The sequence below is a fragment of the Homo sapiens genome, chromosome 8, assembly GCF_000001405.40.
Source record: "Homo sapiens chromosome 8, GRCh38.p14 Primary Assembly".
Taxonomy (NCBI): Eukaryota; Metazoa; Chordata; class Mammalia; order Primates; family Hominidae; genus Homo; species Homo sapiens.
The window spans coordinates 61490269-61515803 of record NC_000008.11 but is presented as its reverse complement, the minus strand read 5'-3'; the positions used below and the strand labels follow the sequence as shown (position 1 = coordinate 61515803).

Sequence of the window (25535 nt, the reverse complement as noted above, 5' to 3'; positions counted from 1 at the left end):
GGGGCATCCAAGATGCTGCTGCAATTGCAGTCTTTGGACAGTGGAGGGTGGCGATGCTTGAGCAAACCTTGGGAATTTGGGAGGCATGAGGCAAGTTCAAGGAAAGGAAGATGAATTTAGTGCTTATGTATTTTATTTAGTTGCTATTGGAACACACTTGTAGAACCATCCAGGAGGTGGCTGGAAATAGAGACCTGGCACTCAGGGGAGAAGGTAAGTCTAGAGATAAAGATTTGAGAGTCAGACTTATCAGGAACTTCTAGAGGAAGCTTGAGACAATCGAAGGATGACAGAAATGAAAAGGTTCCATGAAAACATCTGTATTTAGAAGACGGAAGGAGGAAGGAGAACCAAGAAGGAAATGGGGCAAGAAAGGCAAAATCGGGTAGACCAGGAGGAGGAATCAGGGATCACTGGACAGGCAGAAGTTTCTTCAGGCATGGAATGAATCTTGTCTTACACTGGGAACTCGGTTTGGGTCTTCAGGGTCTCTCTGCCAAAGTGAAAAGGAGCAGGGACACATTGGAGGATGCAAGGAATTCAGAGAGGAGGTTGGAGAATGCTGGAGCAGGCAGAGATTGACAAGGTAACTCCTTGGAGATCACATGAGAGCATGAGGCAGTGGAGATGGAGAAGAGCACCCAGCCTCATGCCTCAGTGCTTCTTAGGCTTTTACAGCCTATTTGTTCTTTCACCAGCTCACTTGCTCTCTCCCTCACCTCCTACCTCCTATTTTTTCTCTCTCCCTCCCTCCCTCCCTTCTTTCCTTCCTCCTCCCTCCCTTCTTTCCTTTCTGCCTGCCTGCCTCCCTCTCTCCCTCCCTCCTTCCCTCCCTGTCCACCCGCCTCCTGCCTCCCTGCCTTCCTGCCTTCCTCCTTCTCTTCTATATTCTGCTTGTAGATACTTGGAACAAAATCACTAGAGAAAAATCCACTTAGGACCAGGCAAGGTGGTTCATGCCTATAATCCCAGAACTTTGGGTGCCCAAGGCAGGAGGATTGCTTGAGGCCAGGAGTTCAAGACCAGCCTGAGCAACACAGTAAGACCCTGTCTCCACAAAAACAAGTTTTTTTGTTTTTGTTTTGTTTTGTTTTTGAGACAGAGTCTCGCTCTGTCGCCCAGGCTGGAGTACAATGGGGCGATCTCGGCTCACTGCAAGCTCTGCCTCCCAGGTTCACACTATTTTCCTGCCTCAGCCTCCCAAGTAGCTGGGACTACAGGCACCCGCCACCACACCTGGCTAATTTTCTGTATTTTTAGTAGAGACGGGGTTTCACCGTGTTAGCCAGGATGGTCTCGATCTCCTGACCTTGTGATCTGCCTGGGCCTCCCAAAATTCTGGGATTACAGGCATGAGCCACCACGCTCAGCCACAGAAACAACTTTTAAAAAATTGCCCAGGAGTTCAAGGCTGCAGTGAGCTGTGATTACACCACTGCACTCCAGCCTGGGTGACAGCAAGACCCTGTCTAAAATTAAAAAAAAAAAAAATCTACTTAGGCATAGGCAGGGAGAGGAAGAGAGATGGAACTGAGCCTAGTCTTCAGTAGCCTGATGCAGAAAGAGAAAGCCAAGATTGGAAGAATGGGTGTGGCAGCCAAGAATGGGAGCAGGTGGATGGTGCCAGGAGGCTTAGCACAAAGTCACAGAGGGCTTAAGATGCATGTTGGGCATGGTGGCATGGGCCTCCAGTGGCTGAGGCAGGAGGATCACCAGAGCCCAGAAGTTTGAGGCTGCAGTGAGCCATGACTGCGCCACTGCACTCCAACAAACATAGTGAGACCCCATCTCTTTAAAAAAACAAAAAAACAAATGCAGGAGTGATGCTGGGAGACCTGCCTCAGGAGCACATTTGTAGGTGCATTCCCCACCCCAGGCTCCCAGCAAACACCTTGTGTCCATGCTTGATAAAGAAAACAACCACCAACCCCTCCCCTAAAGCTTAAAACATAATTAGGTTAACCATCTTCACCTAGCAGAGGCAGAGGAGGGTTAGAAGGACCACTCCAGCCTACTCAGAGGGGGGTCTTGAATGAGAATATTAACTTGGCAGCCCCTCAGTTTCTGCTGAGGTAAAACACAACCTACTTTGTGTGACAGGATGGAGCTGCTGATAATAATAATTTGCAGACGATGTATTTTGCAAATCCACAGTGATTATTTAAAAGTGCTTGCAACTCACCTGCCTATTGTTGGGCCAGGGAGACTGCAATGCTTCTGTCCTCTCCTCCCTGAAGAGTTGCTGAGCACAGGGGTCCTTCTGCCTCACCATGACTGCTGGTCAGCAGCCCTTCTCCACGTTCTTTTTATTTTACCAGCTTTATGTTGTGTTACATTCTCATCCTTAATATTTCTTAATTCAAGGGTGGTTGAGTTGGGCTTAGCACTTCATTACAAAATAGTGCTTTTCATAAGAGAAATGGGTCAATTAAAGTGCTGTGCAATGCTTCCAGTGAAAAGAGCTAGAAATCTGATAGTAGACAGTTTATAAACTCTGAGGACAGAAAGAGTCTAGTATGAAATCTGGAAGTTCTGTGCTATGATTGTAGAAGTACTTTTGGCATGGAAAGAAAAACACACATGCCAAGAAATCAGTTTCCTTGTGCTAGCCAAAGGCAGCAATTTTTCAGACTGTCTCAACTTCTAAAAGAGGAGGTTATCTGTAGCAATTTGTACATTGTTCTTTTCAGGTATTAATAATCGGATTAAGATTTCCACCAGTGTGTATACTGTTTAAATATTCCATCCCTGCAAAGCGTAGCATAGCTCTCTGAGGATGAACTGGCAGGTATGCAGCCCTTACCACTGTAAATGAAATTATTATTTCAAATTAATAAATGCCTTCTGATTAGAAAACTGATACACGTCCCTCACACATAATTTGTATAACACAGAGAAGCTCAATAAAAATGTATTGTTTTATCCCAATACCCAGAGCTATTGCCAGGTGCTTCTCAATGTCTATATATGTGTATTGATGATAATGATGATAGTAATAATATACATTGTTCCAAAATTATATCTGTGTCAAACACAGCTCTAAGCACTCTACATACGTTAACTGATTCATGCTTATGGCAATCCTGTATAATTAGGATTATTAAAATTCCTGTTTTACAGTGGAGGAGACTGAAGTATAAAGATAAGTAACTTGCCTGAGGCTGACATTTATATATGTTTCCTAAGGCTGCCACAACAAATTATCACAAACTGAATGACTTACAACAACAGAAATGTATTATTTCGTGGTTCTGGAGGCCAAAGTATAAAATTAGGGTGTTGGCAGGGTTGTTCCTTCTGGAGGCTCTAAGGGAGAATCTGTTCCCCTGTCCTAGCTTCTGGCTGCTGGCAGCCCTTGGTGTTCTTTGGTTTATAGACACGTCACTTCAGTCCCTGCCTCTGTGTTCACATTGCTTTCTCCCTGAGTCTTCTCCTCTTTTCTTTTCTAAGAACATTTATCATTGGATTTAGGGCCTACCCTAATCCAGGTTGATCTCATCTCAAAATCCTTAACTTAATTCAATCTGCAAAGATCTTTTTTCCAAATCAGGTGATAGTCTCAGGTTCCAGATGGATCTATCGTTTTTAGCAGGGAAGGGGGACAGGGCGGCTTATGGGGACATTCAGCCCACTACAATATTAGTAGTGGGTTCAGTCCCAGGCATTCTGGCTTGAAAGTTTGTGTTCTAGACATGATCACATAGCCTTGCTTGGGCTTTTTGGATTTTGTTGTAGTTTATAAAATTAGGATCATGCTGTACTTATAAGGTGATCACTTCAAATGCTGGGTTTTGTTTCCAGACAAGTAGAGAAAGCAGCTGGGAGTTTCCCTTTCTGGGCCTTCTGTTCATGTCACCTCAGGGGGACCATGCTTTGTGGTCTGTAAAATAAGCTCGTTAGAGCCGGGTGTGGTGGCTCACACCTGTAATCCCAGTACTTTGGGAAGCCGAGGCAGGCGGATCACTTGAGGTCAGGAGTTCAAGACCAGCCTGACCAACATGGTGAAACCCAGTCTCTACTAAAAATACAAAAATTAGCCGGGCATGGTGGCTAATGCCTGTAATCCCAGCTACTTGGGAGGCTGAAGCAGGAGAATCACTTGAATAATGGAGGTGGAGGTTGCAGTGAGCTGAGATCACACCATTGAACTCCAGCCTGGGTGACAAGAGTGAAACTTCATCTCAAAAAGAAAGATAAGCTCATTAGCAATTTTGATCCGGAGCTGAGTAAACCTGAGTCAGGGGATAAACATGTCCCCAGCAAGTGGGAATTAATTATTATACTCAGGAGGTGGCTGAGTTTGTGAGCTTTGAATGATCCCAGAGAGAAATTCATTCTTCTGAATCTCCAAGGGCATTCCACAATGTGCTGGAACTGTGCTAAGAGAAGGAACCGTGACCTTGGAGCTCTCCTGCAGATTCAGCATTATTGCCTGCCAATTACTAGCCTGAAATGTTGAACAAGACTGATAGGTTGTCAGGAAAGCACACATCTACATTAGCGTCACTTAGCGACAGACTGAAAAAATGAATTGGCAATCAATCATTTAATCCTATAGAATTCTATATTGCTGTAGAAATAATGGCCTTCCTCCATAGACCTCAAGTATTTTATAACATATATTTTCATTCATTTCTCAAGGTTCCAATTAGGAAGATTGTGTGAAAGTCATGCTAAAATATTAACAGTAAGAGAGACTTAATTTTTTTAATTCATCATGAATTCCTCATAGACAATAATTGTTTAGTTTTCATAAAGTGTCCAAGGAGATAATTTTAAGACTGTCTTAAAATTTTTGAATCACATGTGGAAGCTGCAATTTACCAAATCATTTAGAGCCAAATATTTTCATCCCTCCTTTCTCCTTTTTTTACTATTCTCCCTGAAATCATAAACCTTCTGTTCCACAAGATATTCTCCCATCTTCATCTGCATTGCAGTGTGACCTTATCCACAGGTCATCACTGAAGCCTGCCCATCTAGGACAAAAAGGACAGTTTTTAACCAGATAGGATGTTTTCCTGAAGGTTTGTTGTTGAATAGTAACATTTTTTCCTCTTCTTTCATTTGAGCAACTTGGTGAGTTAAACACATCCATACCATGTCTTGACCCCTGCTCTGTGACCCAATGGTGTGTCTGTGGCTGTTCCTACACATGAGTACATAGAAAGTGCACACATACATTTCTCTACCTCCACAGGGAATGGCATTTCCCATATGGAAAATGGATTATGTTCCAAACATTTGTTTGTTGAACCGATTGGTGAAAAGGTGGGATCCATTTTTCTCTGGCAATAGTAAATGATGTGTGGTGGTTTCTAGGTCAGCTCCCAGAAGCTTTTTAACTAATAATCTTTATTAATAGGGCTCTAGAACCAGTGACTATTTATAGTAATGTTTCTGCAGGAAAAAATGCATCCTGAGCTTTTATTTCAGATTTTAGTGTTATGTATCTTCATAAAAACATATTCAGAACATTGAAGTCTCATGACTTGGGTTCAAATCCTGGCTTTCCCTCTTGTAAAGAGTAACTCTATACAACTTACATAACCTCATTAAGCCTCAATATCCCCATCTGTATATTAGGAAGAGTAAAAGTATGTCTTTGTATGGTTTTGAGTATTAAAGTAATCCATATGAATGCACTCAGAACTGTATTTATAAAGTGTTGTGTGGTAAATGCACTCAGTATATTTGAGCTTTTATTATCCTCCTGTCTGATTGCTGCAGAAATGGAGACTTCTGTCCTTACGTTCCAGGGAGTGAGATCAAGCACTCTCATAACACTGGAGGTGGTGCTTACAGCCTGGAGTGAGTACTTTGACAGCGATGGGGGAAGGGACTTTAAGGAGTTAGGAAGGAGGAGTGAAATAGGAGCTGGTCATGTGGGCCAGGGCAGGTGAAGGAATGGTACAGATAGGGGCGTGATTTGATAGGCCTGGAGCTGGGAGGGACCCTGGAGAAGGGAGGTGTGACAAGAATGCAGCAGAGACCCTCCCCCCCTACTCACATCTCTCCTTTTTCTCTCTGTGCCCCTACCCTGGAACTGGAGAGGTAGGGGAAAGGAGGAAGGCATCCCATCTCTACAGCCCTATTGTCAGAGGCATTTGAACCAGAGCAGCTCCATCTTGAATAGGGGCTGGGTAAAATGAGGCTGAGACCTACTGGGCTGCATTCCCAGATGGTTAAGGCATTCTAAGTCACAGGATGAGATAGGAGGTCAGCCAAAGATACAGGTCATACAGACCTTGCTGATAAAACAGGTTGCAGTAAAGAAGCCGGCTAAAACCCACCAAAACCAAGATGACCATGAGAGTGACCTCTGGTCGTCCTCACTGCTACACTCCCACCAGCGCCTTGACAGTTTACAGATGCCATGGCAATGTCAGGAGATTACCCTATGTGATCTAAAAATGGGAGACATGAATAATCCATTCCTTGTTTAGCAGATAATCAAGAAATAACCATAGAAATGGGCAACCAGCAGCCTATGGAGTAGCCATTGGAGTATCCATTCTTTTATTCCTTTACATTCTTAATAAACTTGCTTTCACTTTACTCCATGGACTCGCCCTGAATTCTTTCTTGTTTGAGATCCAAGAACCCTCTTTTGGGCTCTGGATCAGGGCTCCTTTCCAGTAACACTATGACTTTTTCTTTCCCTTTTCCCCTTCTTTTTCCTCCTCCTTCAGTGCCTTCATCTGAGTTACAAACCCCTTAAATACTGGTGACCTGGAACTAAGAGGAGGAAGGCAGAAGTTGTTTGTGTGTGTTAGAAGGGGAGAGAGAGAAGAAGAAGTGTGACAATGCAGTTTTACGTTTTGCTTACAGTGTGTGCCATCCCAGGGCTTTCAATGGAGTCTGAACTGGGGAATTTCAGTAGATCAGAATGAGTAAGAGCTGTGTCAAATATTCTTATTGACACAGTAAGAGCTGTGTCAAATATCCTTATTCCTGAGCTCTCTGACCCTTTTCTGTTTTCAACTCAGCCTGTTTCATGCCTTGCAGGCCACCTCAGCATGTCATCTACAGACACTAAGAATGTCTCTTGACCATGGTCTTAAGTCAATGTGTTGGGCTGTAATGACTTTCTGCTTCTGCCACAGAATCACAGTGTCACTGCAGACATCTGAACCTGTTTCCATGTGATTCCTTTGCGTGAAAATCACAGTCATGTCCTTTGCCTATCTCAGAACATTTTAGCAAAGATAGCTAAGATATTATCTATAAAATTTGTAGGTAGAAGACTCTATAAGCACCTAGTATCATTACTTAGCCTTATTAATATCAATGGTAATTCTGTGACCAAATTATAGTTATTAAATATGCACTGCCACCATTTTATCATTATCATTATTTATAATTATAATAATTTGAGAAGTTGACAGATTATGGAATACTGTTTTATCTTAGGACGAGATATTCTTATATCTTTTGACAACCCAGAGAGAGACTTTCTTCTCTTAGTGGTAAGAAATTCTAACAGAAGGCCAGGAACAGTGGCTCACACCTGTAATCCCAACTCTTTGAGAGGCCAAAGCAGGAGAATTGTTTGAGCCCAGGAGTTGGAGAGCAGCCTGGGCAACATGGGGAAACCCCATCTCTACAAAAAAATCCAAAAATTAGCTGGATGTGGTGGCACATACCTGTAGTCCTAGGTACTCGGGAGACTGAGGTGGGAGGATCACCTGAGCCTGGGAGGCGGAGGCTGCATTGAGCTGTGATGGTGCCACCACACTCCAGCCTGGGTGACAGAGCAAATCCTGTCTTGAAAAAAATAAAGGGTTAGGTGGGAGGAGAGAAAGAGAGAGAGGAAGGGAAGGAGGAAGTTCCAACAGTGAGCCAAGCTTCCAGGGATGGAGAGCAGTGCCCACCCCCAATGCTGCTTCTCTGGGTCCTTAGACAAGGCTGTAACAGTACTTCCAGGCAGACCTCTGTCACAGGCCGCTCTGAAGATTGTTTCTCCAAAGGGCTGATTGTATGTCGTAATTCGAGTGTAACTTAATCTTATTTGATGGAGCTTTGTTCACAAAGCAAGTGGCCTGAAAACTAGTTCTTTGCATTCTAATGAGAGTCTTTGGTTTTCAGTCAGAAGCGATTTGACATCTTTATGCTCCTCTCCCTTTGTTGTGGAAAAAAAACATCCTTTCCCAAGCATGTGATACATCTCGAATTTAACCTGGAGTCACTTAAGTCTGGACATGGCTTGTAGGATGTTTTATTGTTCTTCATTTTCCCCTTTTAGGTGAATCGTGACTACAGTTTTAGTCATTCTATCTCTAATAACTGATTGAAAGACACCATTTTTTTAAGAATTCAGAAGAAATCTACATTAAAAAATCTACATTATGTTATTGACTATCTTTGCTATTTTCTGGGGAAATGTATGAAAGAAAGTGGAAGGGCAAATAAGTCCGACAGCACTCACTTTCCCCATAGAGTTTTATGACCCTGAAACAGGCCAATTAACAACCCTTTGGTATACCTCCCCAAATTTCTTATTTATACAATTGGTTAATTAATGGTTTACACTGATCTGTATTGTACTTAATGTATCTGGAAAGCTGCAAGCCTGTGGTTCTTAAGTTCTACTTTTATATGCACTGATGTTCCATGAGTGACCAGCGTGTTCCGGTGCTAATAACTTTTCCCAGTTCTCAGGAATTTAATTTAATGAATGGAATGCTTAAGGCCTTTTTCCCAGAAAACAATTCTAGATCTTTGGCTTTGTTATACGTATCATAATCTAGTGAAAAATGTCATTTTGTGTGGGCTAGAATTTTCTATTCAGTTATTTTAATTACTTCTAGTGTTTTAAGTAGTTTCCAGGTTCTCTGCCACCCAAAAAACTTTGAAAATCACTTGTCATTGCTGTACAAACTACATTTCACAGATGCTCTGAAGATGTTTTTATATCTCATCTCCCTTGGAAGTTTTTAGTTGTCTCAAAGGAAGGCAGACAACATCATAAAGAGTGATGCATATGTCATTTTTGATAACATACCACTTCCCAACATTTCACCTCTGTCTTTTATCTTTTCCCTATTTTTCTTTATATTTTCATTTTTCTGTCATTAATTGAATATCTACTATTGCCAATCATATGCTAATCCTCACATCAATTATGCCGATGAAGACACAAAGAATCAATTATGCTAAGTAGCTCACCTTAGGTCCCATAAGTAATAAATGCCAAGGTCAAGAGGATTCCCCTCAAAGACCATAAATTTCCATCTTCCTGTATTGCTTCTTTCTTTCTCCTCTACCACATGCTCTCCTTTGCCTTTCCCTTTTTTCTCTATTTAATTGTAGTAAAATACACATAACAAAATTTACCATATTATCCATTTTTAGGTGTGCAGTTTAGTGACATTAAGTACATCCATATTGTATAACCATCAACATGATCTATCCTCAAAACTCTTTCTAACTTGCAAAACTGAAACTATACCCATTAAATAACTCCCATTCCCGTCCTCCCACCGGCCACTGGCAACCACTCTTCTCCTTTCTCTCTCTGTGAATTTAACTACTAGTCTAGGACCTCAGATGTGTAGAATCAACTAGTAATTATCTTTTTGTGTCTGGCTTATTTTACTTGACATAATGTCCTCTGAGTTCATACATGTTGTAGCATGTGTCAAAATTTCCTTCCTTTTTAAGGCTGAATTAATATTCCATTGTATGTGTATACCACATTTTGTTTGTCTGTTCATTCACTGATAGATACGTGGGTGGCTCTCACCTTCTAGCTGTTGTGAATAGTGCTGCTGTGAACATAGGTGCACTGCCTTTCATTTTGAGTACACTTCCTCCCTCATCTTCTACATAAATTATAGGCTCGTTTGTGGTACCCACTGACATTGCTTAATCCCGGTGACAACACTGAGACCTAGAAAATGCCTGCCTAACTGTGGAAGCTGTGGACTGTTTCACTGATTTTTCTTGTCAGCGTATTTCCCCGCCTTGGTTTTGCCTTTCTTCTCAAGTTAGATTTTGCATGGTAATGAATGCATATTCTGTCATTTTCTCCTAAGTCCATAGATTTCTGTCTTTTGCTACCCTTGATGGAACTCCAATGGAACTCTAAAAACCTTCAGAGGAGTTGTAGAAGAGCCAATCAACATGTGTGTGTTGAATGCAAGAGATGAGGCAAGGTGTATTAGTCCGTTTTCATGCAGCTGATAAAGACATACCTGAGACTGAGAAGAAAAAGAAGTTTAATTGCACTTACAGTTCCACATGGCTGGGGAGGACTCAGAATCATGGTGGGAGGCAAAAGGCACTTCTTTTTTTTTTTTTTTTTTTTTGAGATGGAGTCTTGCTCTGTCACTCAGTCTGGAGCACAGTGGCATGATCTCAGCTCACTGCAACCTCTGCCTCCCAGGTTCAAGCAATTTCCTGCCTCAGCCTCCTGAGTAGCTGGGATTACAGGCATGCGCTACCACGCCTGGCTAATTTTTGTATTTTTAGTGGAGATGGGGGTTTCACCATGTTGGCCAGGCTGGCCTCGAACCCCTGACCTTGTGATCCACTGTCCTCAGCCTCCCAAAGTGCTGAGATTACAGGCGTGAGCCACCGCATCCAGCTGAAAGGCACTTCTTACCTGGTGGCGGCAAGAGAAAATAAGGAAGATGCAAAAGCGGGAACCCCTGATGAAACCATCAGATCTCATGATACTTATTCACTATGATGAGGACAGTATGGGGGAAGCTGCCCCCATGATTCAAATTATCTCTCATCGGGTCCTTCCCACAGCATGTGGGAATTATGGGAGTACAATTCAAGATGAGATTTGGGTGGGGACACATCCAAACCATATCACGAAGTGTATGAGATAGCACACTGGGTGGAGGTGGGAGGGTGGGTAGTAGAAGTAGAGGTTCAGTTCCCAACTTCAGTGAACTTTCAACTTGCAAATACTCAGTACTTTATCTGTTAGTTTACATAACTTGGAAATTTTATTATCAGACTTATTCAGTATGTCAGTTATTTTCCACTGGAATGATTTTTGCTCCTGCTCCCACCCTGGACATTTGGCAATGACTAGAGATGTTTCTGGTTGTCACAACTATGGCAAAAACTACAATTACTTTTGCACCAACCTCATGGTATAGGGAATGCTACTGCCATACAGTGGGTGGAGGTCAGGGGTGCCGCTAAATATCTCATAGTGCATGGAACAGCCCCTACAACAGAGAATGATCCAGCCTAGATGTCAGTAGTACCACGGTTGTGAAGCCCTGCAATATATGTAGTATTGCTCAGTTTATATTAGTTAATCACCTGATATGGAACATAAAAATTCACCACTAGTTTTCGCACAGAAAACCTCTTTATGATAATATAGTAACTTGAAATCAAGCTAGCATTTCCCATGCTATAATAGTCATTATTTGCTAATCCAGGATGTAAAATTTTGAAGGCTTAAGTGGCATTTTAGTATCTAAGGAAAATTTTCTAGCAAAAATTTTATTTTAAAAACATAACTTGGTATTTAATATATTGGCAGTTAATATCTATTTTTAAAATAAGGAACCATCAGTGTCCCTCATAAACTCTCTTTGGATTTGAAAAGCATTGTGTTACTGCCTCCTGTATGTTTCTCTCTTAATAGACTAACACTATATTTAGATCGCAGTCCCTATACAGATATCTTATGAGGTAAAGTTGGAAGCTCTATAGGGTGTTTTGCAGCATTGATTTAAAATATCCCATGGATAACCCACTTGCATAGAAGATGATACTAAAAATATAAACAAAATTTATTCCCAATCTGCCCATTTTCTTCAGCTGGAATACTAGCTAGGAAACTCCTAATTTAGTTTTCTGCTTTATGGTACTGTGTTTAAGCAGATTCCTTTCTTCCATAAAATGAAACTTGAACAAGTGGAGTGAGCTGAAAAGACAATTGATTGGAAGTGTCTTGAGAGGCATAGAGATGCCTGAGACCCAGTCACTGCCCATATGTCTAAACCAGAATAATTGCAAGACATGTAATAATATACAGAATAATTGCAAGGCATGTAATGAGACCAATATGTCTTCATCACAAATCCTCTGTTGTTTGTACATCTCCAGCACTGAGCAATGAAAACTGATGTTCATAGCAAGATTTCTGAAATTCTTTCCTAATCATCAAGGGAAGAATAAACTTGGGCTTGATGTTCTAGTTATTTGGTTATGTCCCAAAGGTTGTTACCAAAGGTAGTTCTCGCACATGGACAGGAATCGATCCTCAGACATCTGAACCACACAAAACTATATTCAGGAATCCTTGTCTTTCTGCTGCAGGACCTGGGAGGAAGGCAAGGTGCTCATCTTTGATGACTCCTTTGAGCACGAGGTATGGCAGGATGCCTCATCTTTCCGGCTGATATTCATCGTGGATGTGTGGCATCCGGAACTGACACCACAGCAGAGACGCAGCCTTCCAGCAATTTAGCATGAATTCATGCAAGCTTGGGAAACTCTGGAGAGAGGCTGCCTTTCTGGTTCCATCTCCTTGGGTGTGAGGATAGAATTTCGAACACCAAGAGTCAATTCCCTTGACTTGCAGCCCGAGTAATTCAAAGCCTCCTCCTAGGGTCAGAAGACACTAAAGGGAATATTTGCCTCGCTGCAATTCATTTAGGAAACACCCTGCTGTGTGTCATCTCATGACAGCACTGGTCTTCTGCCAGTATTTAAGGTGAACATTTGATAGCTTCTACCTTACCAGCCAAAGATATTTTTTCCACATAGAATAGGTCTAATTCAATGTATAATGAGAACATATGTAGAAACTGTGAATGGATTGCTTTAGTTTGTAATTTTTCTATGCAGTTATATTTTTCTAGTGTAGCTAGACTATTTTGTCATCATGTACCACTACATTTTTGTTTATTTTAATGACAAGCTGTATAAATGCTTTACTTCTAGCTATTTAATGGTAGCATTACTGGGGAACTCAGACTTCCCTCTTTTAATTCTTCTTAGTAAAAGATACTCATGAAAAAAGCAGTTTTATTTTCCTAACAAAAAAGAAAGAGCTCATTATGTCAGTGTCTATGAACTGTACCCATCCCAACTCTCAAATCGTTTGGTTTTTTTTATCTTGATTGAGATCCTCTTCTCACTATGCTAGTGGTGGAGATATTGACAAAATCCTATTTCTTTCAAAGAGGAACTTTTCACACCGAAAAAAGAGCATGGAATTATTTTATATTGTTATAAAAATCCCAGATGCAAATTTTTTTAATGCCAATTATTAGAGCTTCTGGGGAAAAAGTATAGTTCACGGAAATAAAACTATGTTCTTTCAGGGTTGGGTGGATAGGTGGCTGCTAGGGTGTCTGGCTCCTGGCGGCTTTGCCATCCATGAGGCAAGGGCTGGGAACACAGTGTCTTTGCCTATGGTAGATCCATGTGAATGTCAGGAAGCCAGCTCTTCAGTCTTGGAGATGATTTCTGCTACAATTCTGTAGAAAGATTAAGGATGGCAGAGTAAAAGGTTACCAAGAATGCCAGGATGTTTTTCTTGGGCGTAGGAGGTCCAGATTACTTTCCTTTTTGATGAAAGAGTTTGGAAGACTGTCCCATCTCTCTGGCTTGAGAAATCTCTGCCATTTTAAACATCACTGTGAAATAGCAATTATTATCATCTGTATTTAGTTTTAACATTACCCACAACATAGAAATAATAGGTAAAAATCGTCTTGCCTACTCATTCCAAAGATGATCAAGTCATTAATCTAGCAAAGTATTCATGTATCAGATTTTGTATATTTTGAATCAAAGCTAACTAGGAATGTTAGATATAAGAATGTAATGATATTCATGCACTGAATTCTAAGCCAATATGAACAAAAATGCTGCATGAATGGCACATATAGGTCACCAAAGTTCATTCACAGGTAGAAAAAACTTGTGCTTTCTTTTCCATCTAAAAACAAAAGGAGACTTTCTTTATCTCATTTAAAGAACAGCTCTTTGAAATTGAAATTGACCCTTTTTGCTTGACCTTAAGGAGATTAGCTTCCAGTAGATGAGTTTGCAAAATACTTTTCCTGTTCTTTTGTTTTGCTGGTATTGAAAACATCCCACTAAATCAGATGAAGAGGCATGGGAGGAAAAATATCCAAATTAATTACTAAAATCGAGAAGAGAAGGCAAACTCTTGAAAAGTAAAAAGGTGTTTGTGACCTTCAGTATTTATTGAACAGAGGAAATAACTGACAAGGGCAATACAATTCAATGTTCATGTAGTAACATTCATGTCACTTGTTGAATTTGGTTCTCATATGTATATTGCATACACATAAATTCAAACTATAAGTCGTCATTTTTGAGCCATCATCTTACATTCATGTAATGAAATTATGGAAGAGAGTAAAAACTAGCTCTTAACTTAGTAAATATAATATGGTATTTAAAATCAGGTCACTACAGTAAGGTTCTAAGTATTGCCAATTGAAAAGCTAGAAATGGTATTACTGTTGCAAAGTGTTGTCAATAATTGACTCCAATAGCATTGTAAATACTTGTATCCCACAACTATTTTAAACCCAAGCAATAAAATGGATTTTCTAATTCACTTCAATTCTTTATTTCTCTTACCTATCTATGTCTTGGTACATAAGAAAAGTGTTTCCATCACTGCATTGGTAGAATTATTTCAGTGTTATTATTTTTGTGATTTCGTATGTCTACACAAAAATGAATTAGTTTAATTTATATTGTGATACAGTTGTTTGAGAAATATTTTTAATTCTGTTTCAACTTTATTTCTCCAAGTGTATAATATAAAAATTACTTCTGTTATTGTTCTCTACCAATAGGGGAAAAAATTAAAACATTAGATCCATTGAGAAAGAGATGATGTAATAAATAATTAAGATTAGTAATAATATTATCAGGGGTGATTATGACCAGTTGAATAATCTCTTTCCCTTGAATTATTTAGCTAACAAATTAACTCTCCCAAATATTTAAAATAATGTAAAATCATATTTTACTGCCCATTATTAACTAAAATATTTTTGTTTGACTTTGAGCACCAACTGGTAATACTAATAAATACCCATGTCATGCAGATGGCTGGGCGAATAAGAGATGTCTAAAAATATGCACTGGTCTTGGAAAACATGGCACAAGTAAGGATATCATATATGATGTCTGTTTATTTTATGTCTGATTTCTTTTGAATGAGTAGTTGGGGACTCCATTTCTAAGGAGACTAGGTAAATAAAATGACCTTTGACATTTCATCCTGCATTTCTAGTCTTCTCTTACTTCAGTACTTGCATATTTAGCCATCCATATGGGTCATGCTCCATGATTGAATATTTACCCTCTCAGCAACAACCATGGTCTTTCTCCACATCTTTAATGGTTGCAGGAGGGTTGTGGGGGCAAGGGTAAATGGTTTGATAGCACTTTTCTTTGCTGTAGTGACCCAGTTGAGGCAACTGGAATGGATTCATTAATCACTGACATGTGATTTTCATGAGACATCTCCTCTGCAGACACATGCTGCACTAATGGGCTTTTGAGCTGCCTGTGGTAACTCACATTGCTCAGATGAAATAATCGTATTTCACGTCCATGTGTCTTCCTTTAACGTCAGCTCATGACAGTCAGCTAGTGACCTGACAAGAGATGTGACATCAAAATAATTTTTTGCAGGATATCATCAAAATAAGCAAACTTTGCAAATACCCAGACCTATGAGAACATGCTCTTAGGCTGAACAATTCGATGCTGGTGATGAGGTCAAAGGAAATAATTCAGTAAGAATGGAAATTACTGGAGATACTATTGTCTCAGGGCTTTGTACTACATGAAACTTGACAGTGGTGTCTGTACAGTTTAACTCTGATACATTTACTTGGAAATGCACTTAATTTTCAAAAACTGGAGAGGGTCCCTGTGTGATACCTCAGAAAAATTCTTGTCCTAATGCAGTGTGTCCATCAAATTTAGTCTTTATTTTTTCAATTTACTACAATAAATATGAAAGGAGGGAGAATCTTTTTTACATAAATGCCTTGCATCATCCTCCAGTCCCCTCACTGGGGGAAAAAAAAAGCATCTCTCAAGTCTTTGTCCAACTTTGGCTGCTCAGACCGATGGCTGGTGACAGTCACTGCAGGGGTTCAGGAGTGGAGGACCTTGTGTCAAGCAGAACACACGTGTCTGCATGGGTCAGTTGTGCATGTGCTTCCTGGGTGGCTGATACCACTGAAGGCCAGTGTGCAGGAGCATTGGGGTGACTCAGGGTTCAGTCCAGAGCCAGGAGTGGCTGGGTGTTCTCATTCTCTCCCTTCTCCTCATGTTTCAGGGTCCCAGCTTCTACCACAGACTGAGATCTAACAAGAGGGGAGGGAAAAAGACAGAATTACAAACAATTCATGGTGACAATTTTGGAACCTTTGAAGACATCCGGATTTTATATTTCTCTTTTTAATAGACACTCAAAAATTAACTGGGTGCAGTGGCACATGCCAGTAGTCCCAGCTATTCAGGAGGCTGAGGTGGGAGGATCGCTTGAGTCCAGGAGTTTGAGGCTGCAGTGAGCCATATTGTGCCACTGCACTCCAGCCTGGGTGACAGAGGTAGACCCTGTCTCCAAAATAAAAATAAGAAATAAAGACACTCAAAATAACTACATAATATATTCCCTTTCGTATCTCTGTTTTTCTTACTTCTTTTGCTTGCTAAACCACATTTTTACGGCAAAAAAGCATTTTGGAGTACTGGAATAATCTTTGCAGTGATCTCTTCTCTTGGTAAAAGGGACATATGTATTCTAGCCACACTCTGCCCCAGCATCTAAATATTCTGTGTACCTTCAGATATATAAAGTTTGTTGAATTTTTAATGTTTTAGTGTACCTTTTAAACCTTTTGTCTCTCAGAGTCATTGGAAACTACCATGCATGATGTTAAGACCATGAATCAGATGGTAAAGTTAGACTCTGTCCCTTACTGGCTGGGAAGCTTGGGGGAGTTCTTAAAACTCTCTGGACCTTGATTCTCTCACCTGTATACTAGAAGTATTACCTACTTCCCACAGTTGTTGATAAAGACGACTACAACTAATAATATGCATAGAGCATTTGGCATGGAATTATAGTTAAAACTTATGAAGCACTCTTATGACCAACCACTATTGCAATACTAGTAATGATCATTAGTTTTTGATGTGTCCTTTTATACTGGAGTAATAATGATTTTTTTCTAAGAAGTTTATAATATGAATTAAACCAAATTATTTTCCAGCTTACAGAGAAAAGGTTATAAAAAGAGCTACGCAGTAGATATTTAATAAATGTTCACAACTAAAAACAAATTATCATGAAAATGGTTAAATTGTTCAAATAAGTAAAACTTACATATATGTGCAGTAAATTGTTAACTCGGTAGACCTGGGGTGCCCAAACCCTACACATTACAAGTTTTCAAGACTGGCCTTTGGCTCCTCTGAGCCCTTAGAGTAGTCTACCTGATAAGGAGATCTTTGTATATCTGAGACCTGACTTCATGCCAAGTAGTTTATGCTAACAGTGTGATTTATAGTGCATGCTTGGTTTTGTATGTCTGGGCTTTAGGTCACACTGTATCAGTTTGACCCTTTTAAGGCAGTAAGAGTGTCAGAGGTGCTTGAACCAGAGCAACTCCATCTTAAATAGGGGCTGGGTAAAATAAGGCTAAAGCCTGCTGAGATGCATTCCCAGAAGGTTAAGGCATTCTTAGTCACAGAATGAGATAGGAGGTTAGCAAAAGATACAGATCATAAAGTCCTTGCTGATAAAACACGTTGTAGTAAAAAAGCCAGACAAAACCCACCGAAACCAAGACGGCGATGAGAGTGATTTCCAGCCATCTTCACTGCTACACTCCCACCAGCACCATGACAGTTTACAGATGCCATAGCAACATCAGGAAGTTAACCTATATGGTCTAAAAAGCGGAGGCATGAATAATCTACCCCTTGCTTAGCATATAATCAAGAAATAACCGTAAGAATGGGCAACCAGCAGCCCTCAGAGCTGCTCTTTCTATGGTGTAGACATTCTTTTATTCCTTTACTTTCTTAATAAACTTGCTTTCACTTTACTCTATGGACTTCCCCTGAATTCTTTCTTGCATGAGATCCAAGAACCCCTCTCTTGGGGTCTGAATTGGGACCACTTTCTGGTAACATCTTTCTGATGAACCATGAAGGGACAATACTGAGGAAACCCCTGACCCAAAGACTAACTTTGAGTAAGTAAGTGGTGGGGCCTGGTAACAAGAGGGAATGGTGGAAGGCTGAGGACTGAGCTGTTAAGGTCAGTCACAAAGGTACTGCATGCCCATGAGACTGACACCCCCCCCCCAATAAAAACCTGGACACCAGGGCACAGATGAACCTCCTTGGTTGACAACACTTTGCAGATGTTGTCACACATCATTGCTAAGAGAATTAAGTTCTGTTCATGTGATTTTACTGGAAGGACAACTGGAAACTTACAGCTGGTCCTTCCTGGACTCCTCCTTATGCATGGCTTTCCATTCCTGATTGCAATCTATATCCTTTTCTGTAGTAAACCACAACTGTCAGTCTTAACAACTTTTCTGTGTCCTGTGGGTCTTTCTAGTAAGTTAGGAAGACATTATCAAAATTATCAAATACAGAAAAGGGTGGTCTTGAGGACCCCCTCAACACAACATACTAAAACACTATGTTTGTGCATGGTATTGTTCTAAGAAGTTCTTGACCTATATTAGCTTATTTCATTTTCATAACCCATAGTTGTATATTAACATGTATTTACATTGACATATATTAACATTTCATTTTCACAACCCTTAGTTTTTTCCATCTAAAAAACTAAGGGACTGAGAAGTCATATGATGTATAGAAGGCAACACAAATAGAAAGTGGAGATGTTGACAGGTTTATTACCAACCCACAGTTCCTGGGTATACCAAAGGCCACAGAAGCGTTTAGCTAAAACATCGAGTGTTCCTTCCACCTCACCATAAAAATCACTGTTGTTTTGCCTAAGATTCCTGTCTCCTTTCAAGATATGTATGTACTGTAGAAAGGATAAAATTAAGAAATCAAGAAGCAAATCAGTACAAGTGTCTCAAAAAAATTTATTTCTACTGTAACTATCAATCCATTCAAACAGTCCAACCTTATATACCAAGCTGAACCTTTGAAAGCAAAATGGACTCATGGACTCACTTATTGCTGGGATAGGGCAGAGGAAGGAAGCTCTAGGTTGTAGTTTAGCCCCAGCCCCCTAACACATTTCCAGTGCATTTTTCTCTTTGTTTTAGTTTAAGGCCCAGTGTGCATGTGGGGAAGGGAGAAGTGTAGGTTTGTACGAGGAACAGGAAAGCAGAAAATCCAGAGGCATTAAAACAAACAGCAAGCATGAAGACAACCAAGAGAGCACAACCAGAGACACAGGCCAACCTCCCTCCAGCACCTTGGACAGCTGCCTTCCTGCTTTGACCTACGGACCCTGTGGAAAAGGAAAATACTGATGGCCATCTACTTTTACAGACCTTAAACTCCATTTACCTTCTGTCATATGACTTCACTTTATTTCACAACATGGCATGAGAACCACAGCCACAGAGTTAGAGGGAAACAGTGACTCATCTAGACCAACCTGATAGGAAATCTTCAGTAAGGAGTTGTGCAGCCTCTTCTTGAACATAACTAACTTGAGGAACCTGCTCCTCCATGCCCCTAAACAGTCAACTCAGCTAGAAAATTCTTCCTTACATTGAACTCAGCTCTGCCCTTTCTAAACTTCTATGTACAATTTCTGATTCTTTCTCCTGGAGCCACCAGAGTAGACACAAGTACCTTTTAGCCCTCCCACACCTGCCCAGCCAAGGCTAGCCAGATTCCTCTTGTGCCAAGGTTTCTAAAACTGGCCACCTTAGCACTATCCTGTATCTCTTCATCAACTAGCTGGGTTGCCCATAGACTCCTGGTGTGACCTCAGAATAAAATAATTGCTTCACTTTCTTGATTTTTGGTTTGTTTTTTGCTCTGTTTGCTTCTGTTGAGGCAATTTAGAGTTGCATTAGCCTTTCTGGCACTGATACAACACAACCAAAGGGAAATCTGGCTGTATTTACACATGCTGCCATGCTGCTGTTAACAATTTCTCTCCCATCTCAAAGGTACATGGTTGGGTATTAAATTTCATTTTCTTGAATTTGCCTCATGTTTCCAATCTATCTCCATCCTTTTGGATCTTGAAATTTGTTACCCATCCAAATGATTATCTGGGACTTTTGTGTCTTGGATCTGTTTCAAAACTTCCCCTTTCCCTGTTTTGGGAGCCACTATGAAAAGAAAATCAAATTCTCAAATAATGAGTTTTTTAAAAATCACTTATTCACACACTCACACTAAGAAAGATTTGTGAACATCTGCTGTATGCAACGGACTATGAGCAATGTGCCAAAACCTTTATGCTTTTGTGGAAACACTGCTTCAGTTATCCAGCCATAGACCCACAAACAGACTTAAAATCATTGTGACAGGCACCCCCATTACCCAGTCAGAGGAGAGGCAGTTTTGGGGAGGGAAGGTGTTAGACATGAAAGGAAAGGAATGAAGAAAAAAATTATCTTTCACACATTATTCATAGTTCTTATTCAGGTAGCCAACTTTCACTTCCCCCTCCACATTGAGTCAAATTGGGATCTACATGATTTCTTCTAATAGATGTACTGGCAGCACAGACCCAGAATGCAGGCTCTCTTAACTCTGCCAATAAACTGTGTGCCATGGTTGAATGGTGAGTAGCAATAAGACAACTCTGAGATAGTGAGGCCGAGGAACCAAACATAACTTTTTATTTTCCTGGTTTACATTTTCCCTGAGTGAGAAGATGACCATACAGTCTTTTTACTTTCAGCATGACATAATTCTAGTTACCTGGTCACACAATAAACATTTGATATAAGTAGCACATTATGTTATGAAGTATTTTAAATTCACTGGAAAAAATTAGAAAGTAAATGTTGCTTTTCAAAACCTCTAGAAAAAAAGAAATAAAGCCAAGAGATACAACCTTTTAAATCTTGCCCTCAGTATATTTGGCTGATTCAAAATGCTCTCAGGGAAGACCAATCAACTGCTCACTGAAACATGTCTCCACCACTTCTGAACAGAGTGCTTAGGAATTCTGCACTTAGTACATTAACTATCGAGAAGCCACTTGCTTTGAGGCTTTGTTGTCCAGATCACTCTTGGTGGTAATCTCTTCATTCGGTGGCTTTGTCTTCTCACAAGAAGCTTAACATGTCTGCTAAAACAAACATTTCTCTTGGGTTCTCTTTCCAACACTGAAAGCCAGCTTAACCCCAAGGTCAGGCAGGGGAGTGATTTGAGTTATTTCAGCCATCATTATCTCAGTGGTGTAGTAGGCAACTCTAACAAGGCTTCATTCTAGCCTAGATAGCCACTTTTTGTTTTCCTGCTATTCTCTCTCTCTCCACCCTCCTTTATTCTACCCTCCCTTACTTCACCATCTCCCTTTCTCTCTTTCCCCTTTCTTCCCCAAAATTGGAACTTTCCCCACTTCATTAAGCATCTATGGCTGTGGTTTAATTTTTACTGATTCTAGTTGTGATCAATGCTCATGAAGAACGAGATGAAAATGGAAAATGTTGGCCATGATTCAGTCCATTCTGCACAGACCTACAACTGGACTGAGAGTTCTGCTCTCAGGTCTACTTTTATGTTCAAAAATTTATTTAGCTACCTTATCTCAACAGCTAACACTCACCTTTTCTTCTTCTTACTAATGCCCTGCATTGCCTTCTTGAGCTATGTGGACCCCAACAAAGGGACAGGAATGCTGCTCTCCAACCCCAGGCATTCACCAAGAGTCATAGAGCACCCAGCTACAAGGAACCTCAGGAGTGATTCAGTCAAACCTGCATTTGAATCAGGTTCTACCCATCTGTTTTCCAGGACCAACATCATCATTCCATAAGGAACTATTCCACAGTACCAGCTTTCTTTCTTAAAGTCAACAACAAACTTGGTTTTATGGAATAACACAGAATTGCCTAATAGTGAGCCTATGTAAAGGCTTCTAAACAGGAAGAAATAAGTTTTTATAAAGGTGTCTTCAAATAATTCTAAGTAATTCTGCTCAGATTTTTCCCCCAAATAACTTTAAGTATCAAGGAAATTCCCCAGAGAAGCTCTGGCCTGGGCTTGAAGAATGATGGGTCCATCACTTGCTTTGTGATCTTGGGTGAATTCGGCCTCCTCATGTGTAAAAATGAAGATAGGATAGTGGCCACATCGTGGGTGCTGGGGATGATGAGGATTAGATAAATTAAGGTGTGGAAAGTGTTTAGCTCTGTGTCAGCTGGGTATACACATTTATTCTTTTTAGCTCTTATTATTCTTCTCTATTTGCAGATAAGAAAATTAAGGTCCAGAAATATTGATTGATATTCATTTGCAAATTTAGCCACAAAGCATGAATCAAACTCAAAATTTCCATGGCACCACTAAAAGACTTACAAGAGACAATTGTGTGTACTGACACATTATGTAATGTGATTAATAAATGAAAAACTAACATTTCAAAATGGATGAAGTCTAGTATTTTAAAAAATCAAAATAATTGATAAAATAATTTCACATAAAAGCTAACCTTATTACCTTACTTAATATCTTTAAATTTTTAGAAGTAACACAGAAATTTCCATCTGCTTAATAATTATTTATGTAGCTTCAGTGCAATATAGTTATGGTTGTTTTCAACTGTGTAAAGCTACGACGTTTCTTTCTACTATAATGCATTCGATAGTGACCTTGATAAGGAGTCTTAAGGAATATTTGTAGGACATGTATTCTTCTGTTCAGCTACCAAACTCTTCATAATCAGAATCATCCTAGCAGGCAAAATGATTGTGCTCACTGGGAACAATTAATGTTTACTGAACCCGATAAATAATTTTTTTAAGAGAAGCCTAAGCAGCAAATCTTTTCCCTATCAAAGTAAACAAAATAATAAGTAAACCTCTCTCTGCTTTGACAATAAAATTTTCCACAATTTACTGAACTGGAAATATAAGAAAACCAGTCCAAAAAAATAAATATTCTATTATTTTGAAGCAAACTATTTTTAGAGTGAGCCAAATATTCAATTCCCAGCTCTTGCCTATATGTACTATAACTCATGTATCATGTATTTCTACCAAAATGCAGTGGGCTTGGACATTGACTGCCCATCTTGTAACAAAGAAGAAAGACCCCCCCAAAAAAACATGTGCACCTTCAGAAAGGATGGAAGTGCGTGGCTTTCATGAAGAGCTGCACTGTCCGGTATACAGCCCTGACCACAAGAGGCTACTGAGGACTTGAACTTGGGCAAGGTTGAATGAAGATGGACTGTAAAAGGTAATGTACACACCAAATTTTAATGACTTTTAGTACCAAAAAAATGTAAACTATCTCATTAATATTTATTTAACTCACGCAGTGAAATTATACACTAGGTGGATACATTAGGTTAAAGAAGACATTAAAATTAATTTCACCTGTTTCTCTGTATTTTTGTAACATGTCTATTAGACAACTCAAAATTACATATGTGACTCACGTTTTTCCATTGGATAGCATTGGTCTGGAGCCTCATTTACTCCATTATGCTTGTGGCTGAACCTAGAATAATCTAGTAATCCTTACTTAGAAATCTATAGTCATGTTAAAGAGTTTTGGTGACAACATCAGTGTCTGTCATCACTAGCACTCGCTGTTCTAAACCCTTTCCATGTATTAGCTCATTTAGTTCTCAAACTGACACTCACAAAACCCTCCTCCTGCCCCCATGATAGGAGACCCATGTCCTTAGTATCACTGTTGTTATTTAAATTCTAACTGGAAAGAAACTTTAGGTTAGACTCCATTCACCTGTTATCATTTAGATAAAAGTGAAATTGTACTTGTAATTTTATCTCAAAATAAATAAATAATATGAATAAAACTCGAGGAAGTAACAATCATCTGTGCTTTTTCCATTTGTAAGTGTTCATGCTATTTTGTTTAGCCAAAATATTATTTCTCCTGCTTTTTTGATCAGGCTAACTCCACCTAGTTTTAAGGACACCTGAAGAACAGTTAGCATTCTTAGCTCTTTAATATTAGTTTCCCTCTTCTGTGAGGTTACAGCATCCAGGGAAATTGCTATTGCAACATGTAGTGCAATATAAAGAAAGTTTGAATTTAATCTCTCTTAATAAATTATGCATTTCTTATTTAAAAAGCTTCAGGAAGTAATATAAACTACTTAAAAAATAAGTTCTTTTTGAAGTTGTTATAGCAAAATTAACATTAACTTTATGACTGCAGATGACTGGCTGCTCATGATAAGGGCCCTCTGAGAGGTAGATAAACTAAGAGCACTGGGCTATGGTTTGGGCACCTCTTCTTGTCACTCATGTCACTAACTTGCTGTGCCAGTATGAAGCAGTTCACACAGCTACTCTGATCCCATGTAAAACAATGATCTTGAACAAGATCACATTTTTTAGCCACAAGTTTCTGTGCATACTACTAGACTGGACTACAATCACCAATTGTTCTTGAAAATAATTAGATTTTATTTTTCAAAATTCTACAATTCACACTTTAAGTTAATTTGTTCAAATAGTCTAACTCTTCTCTATCTCAACATTTGCTTTAACTTCCTTCTAGAAAAGCCTAGAAAGTCTCAAAATTACAGAAGTTTGGCCTTTCCTAAAGTTAGGATGTGCCCAATACATTTAGGCTTCATGAGTCAAAATAATTTCTTTCTTTCTTTTTTTTTTCTTTTTTTTTTTGGAGATGGAGTCTGGCTCTGTTGCCCAGGCTGGAGTGCAGTGGTGCGATCTCGGCTCACTGTAACCTCTGCCTTCCAGGTTCAAGCTATTCTCCTGCTTCAGCCTCAAGTAGAGTAGCTGGGATTACAGGCACCCGCCACCACGCTCAGCTAATTTTGTATTTTTAGTAGAGACGGGGTTTCACCATGTTGGCCAGGCTGGTCCTGAACTCCTGACCTCAAGTGATCCACCCACCTCAGCCTCCCAAAGTGCTGGGATTACAGACATGAGCCAAAGCCGATTTACCTACTTTTTTTTTTTTTTTTGAGACGGATCTCGCTCTGTCACCCAGGCTGGAGTGCAGTGGTGTGATCTCGGCTCACTGCAGTCTCCGCCCCTGGATTCTCCTGCCTCAGCTTCCCGAGTAGCTGGGACTACAGGCATGCGCTACCACGCTCAGCTAATTTTTTGTATTTTTAGTAGAGATGGGGTTTCACCGTGTTGGCCAGGATGGTCTCAATCTCTTGACCTGGTGATGCACAGGCCTCAGCCTCCCAAAGTGCTGAGATTACAGGCGTGAGCCACAGAGCCCGGCCCAATTTACCTTTTATAAATGTTTTTCATTTCCATAAATTTCTTTCCTTCTTTTTTTTTTTTTTGAGACGGAGTTTTGCTTTTGTTGCCCAGGATGGAGTGCAGTGGCGCAATCTTGGC

The 25535-nt window shown here is 40.0% G+C and overlaps 2 protein-coding genes across 76 annotated transcripts in view; one reads left to right on the top strand and one right to left on the bottom strand.

The window, feature by feature from the left end:
* The window catches only part of ASPH (aspartate beta-hydroxylase), a 214037-nt gene extending 198789 nt beyond the window's left edge, over positions 1 to 15248 (top strand). For 61 of the 72 annotated variants that reach the window (NM_001413901.1, NM_001413909.1, NM_001413895.1 and 58 more), the window contains one exon: positions 12295 to 15248. In NM_001413901.1, the coding sequence (NP_001400830.1) occupies positions 12295 to 12445 (151 nt within the window). In that variant the 3' untranslated portion in view covers positions 12446 to 15248. Of the gene's footprint in view, positions 1 to 5730; positions 5812 to 12294 lie in introns of all 72 variants that reach the window. The other 11 variants (NM_001413859.1, NM_001413847.1, NM_001413844.1 and 8 more) reach the window with 1 other exon arrangement.
* CLVS1 (clavesin 1) overlaps positions 14175 to 25535 on the bottom strand; it is a 536782-nt gene continuing 525421 nt past the window's right edge. For all 4 annotated transcript variants that reach the window (XM_024447079.2, XM_017013141.2, XM_017013142.3 and 1 more), the window contains one exon: positions 14175 to 16349. In XM_024447079.2, the coding sequence (XP_024302847.1) occupies positions 16262 to 16349 (88 nt within the window). In that variant the 3' untranslated portion in view covers positions 14175 to 16261. The remainder of the gene's footprint in view (positions 16350 to 25535) is intronic.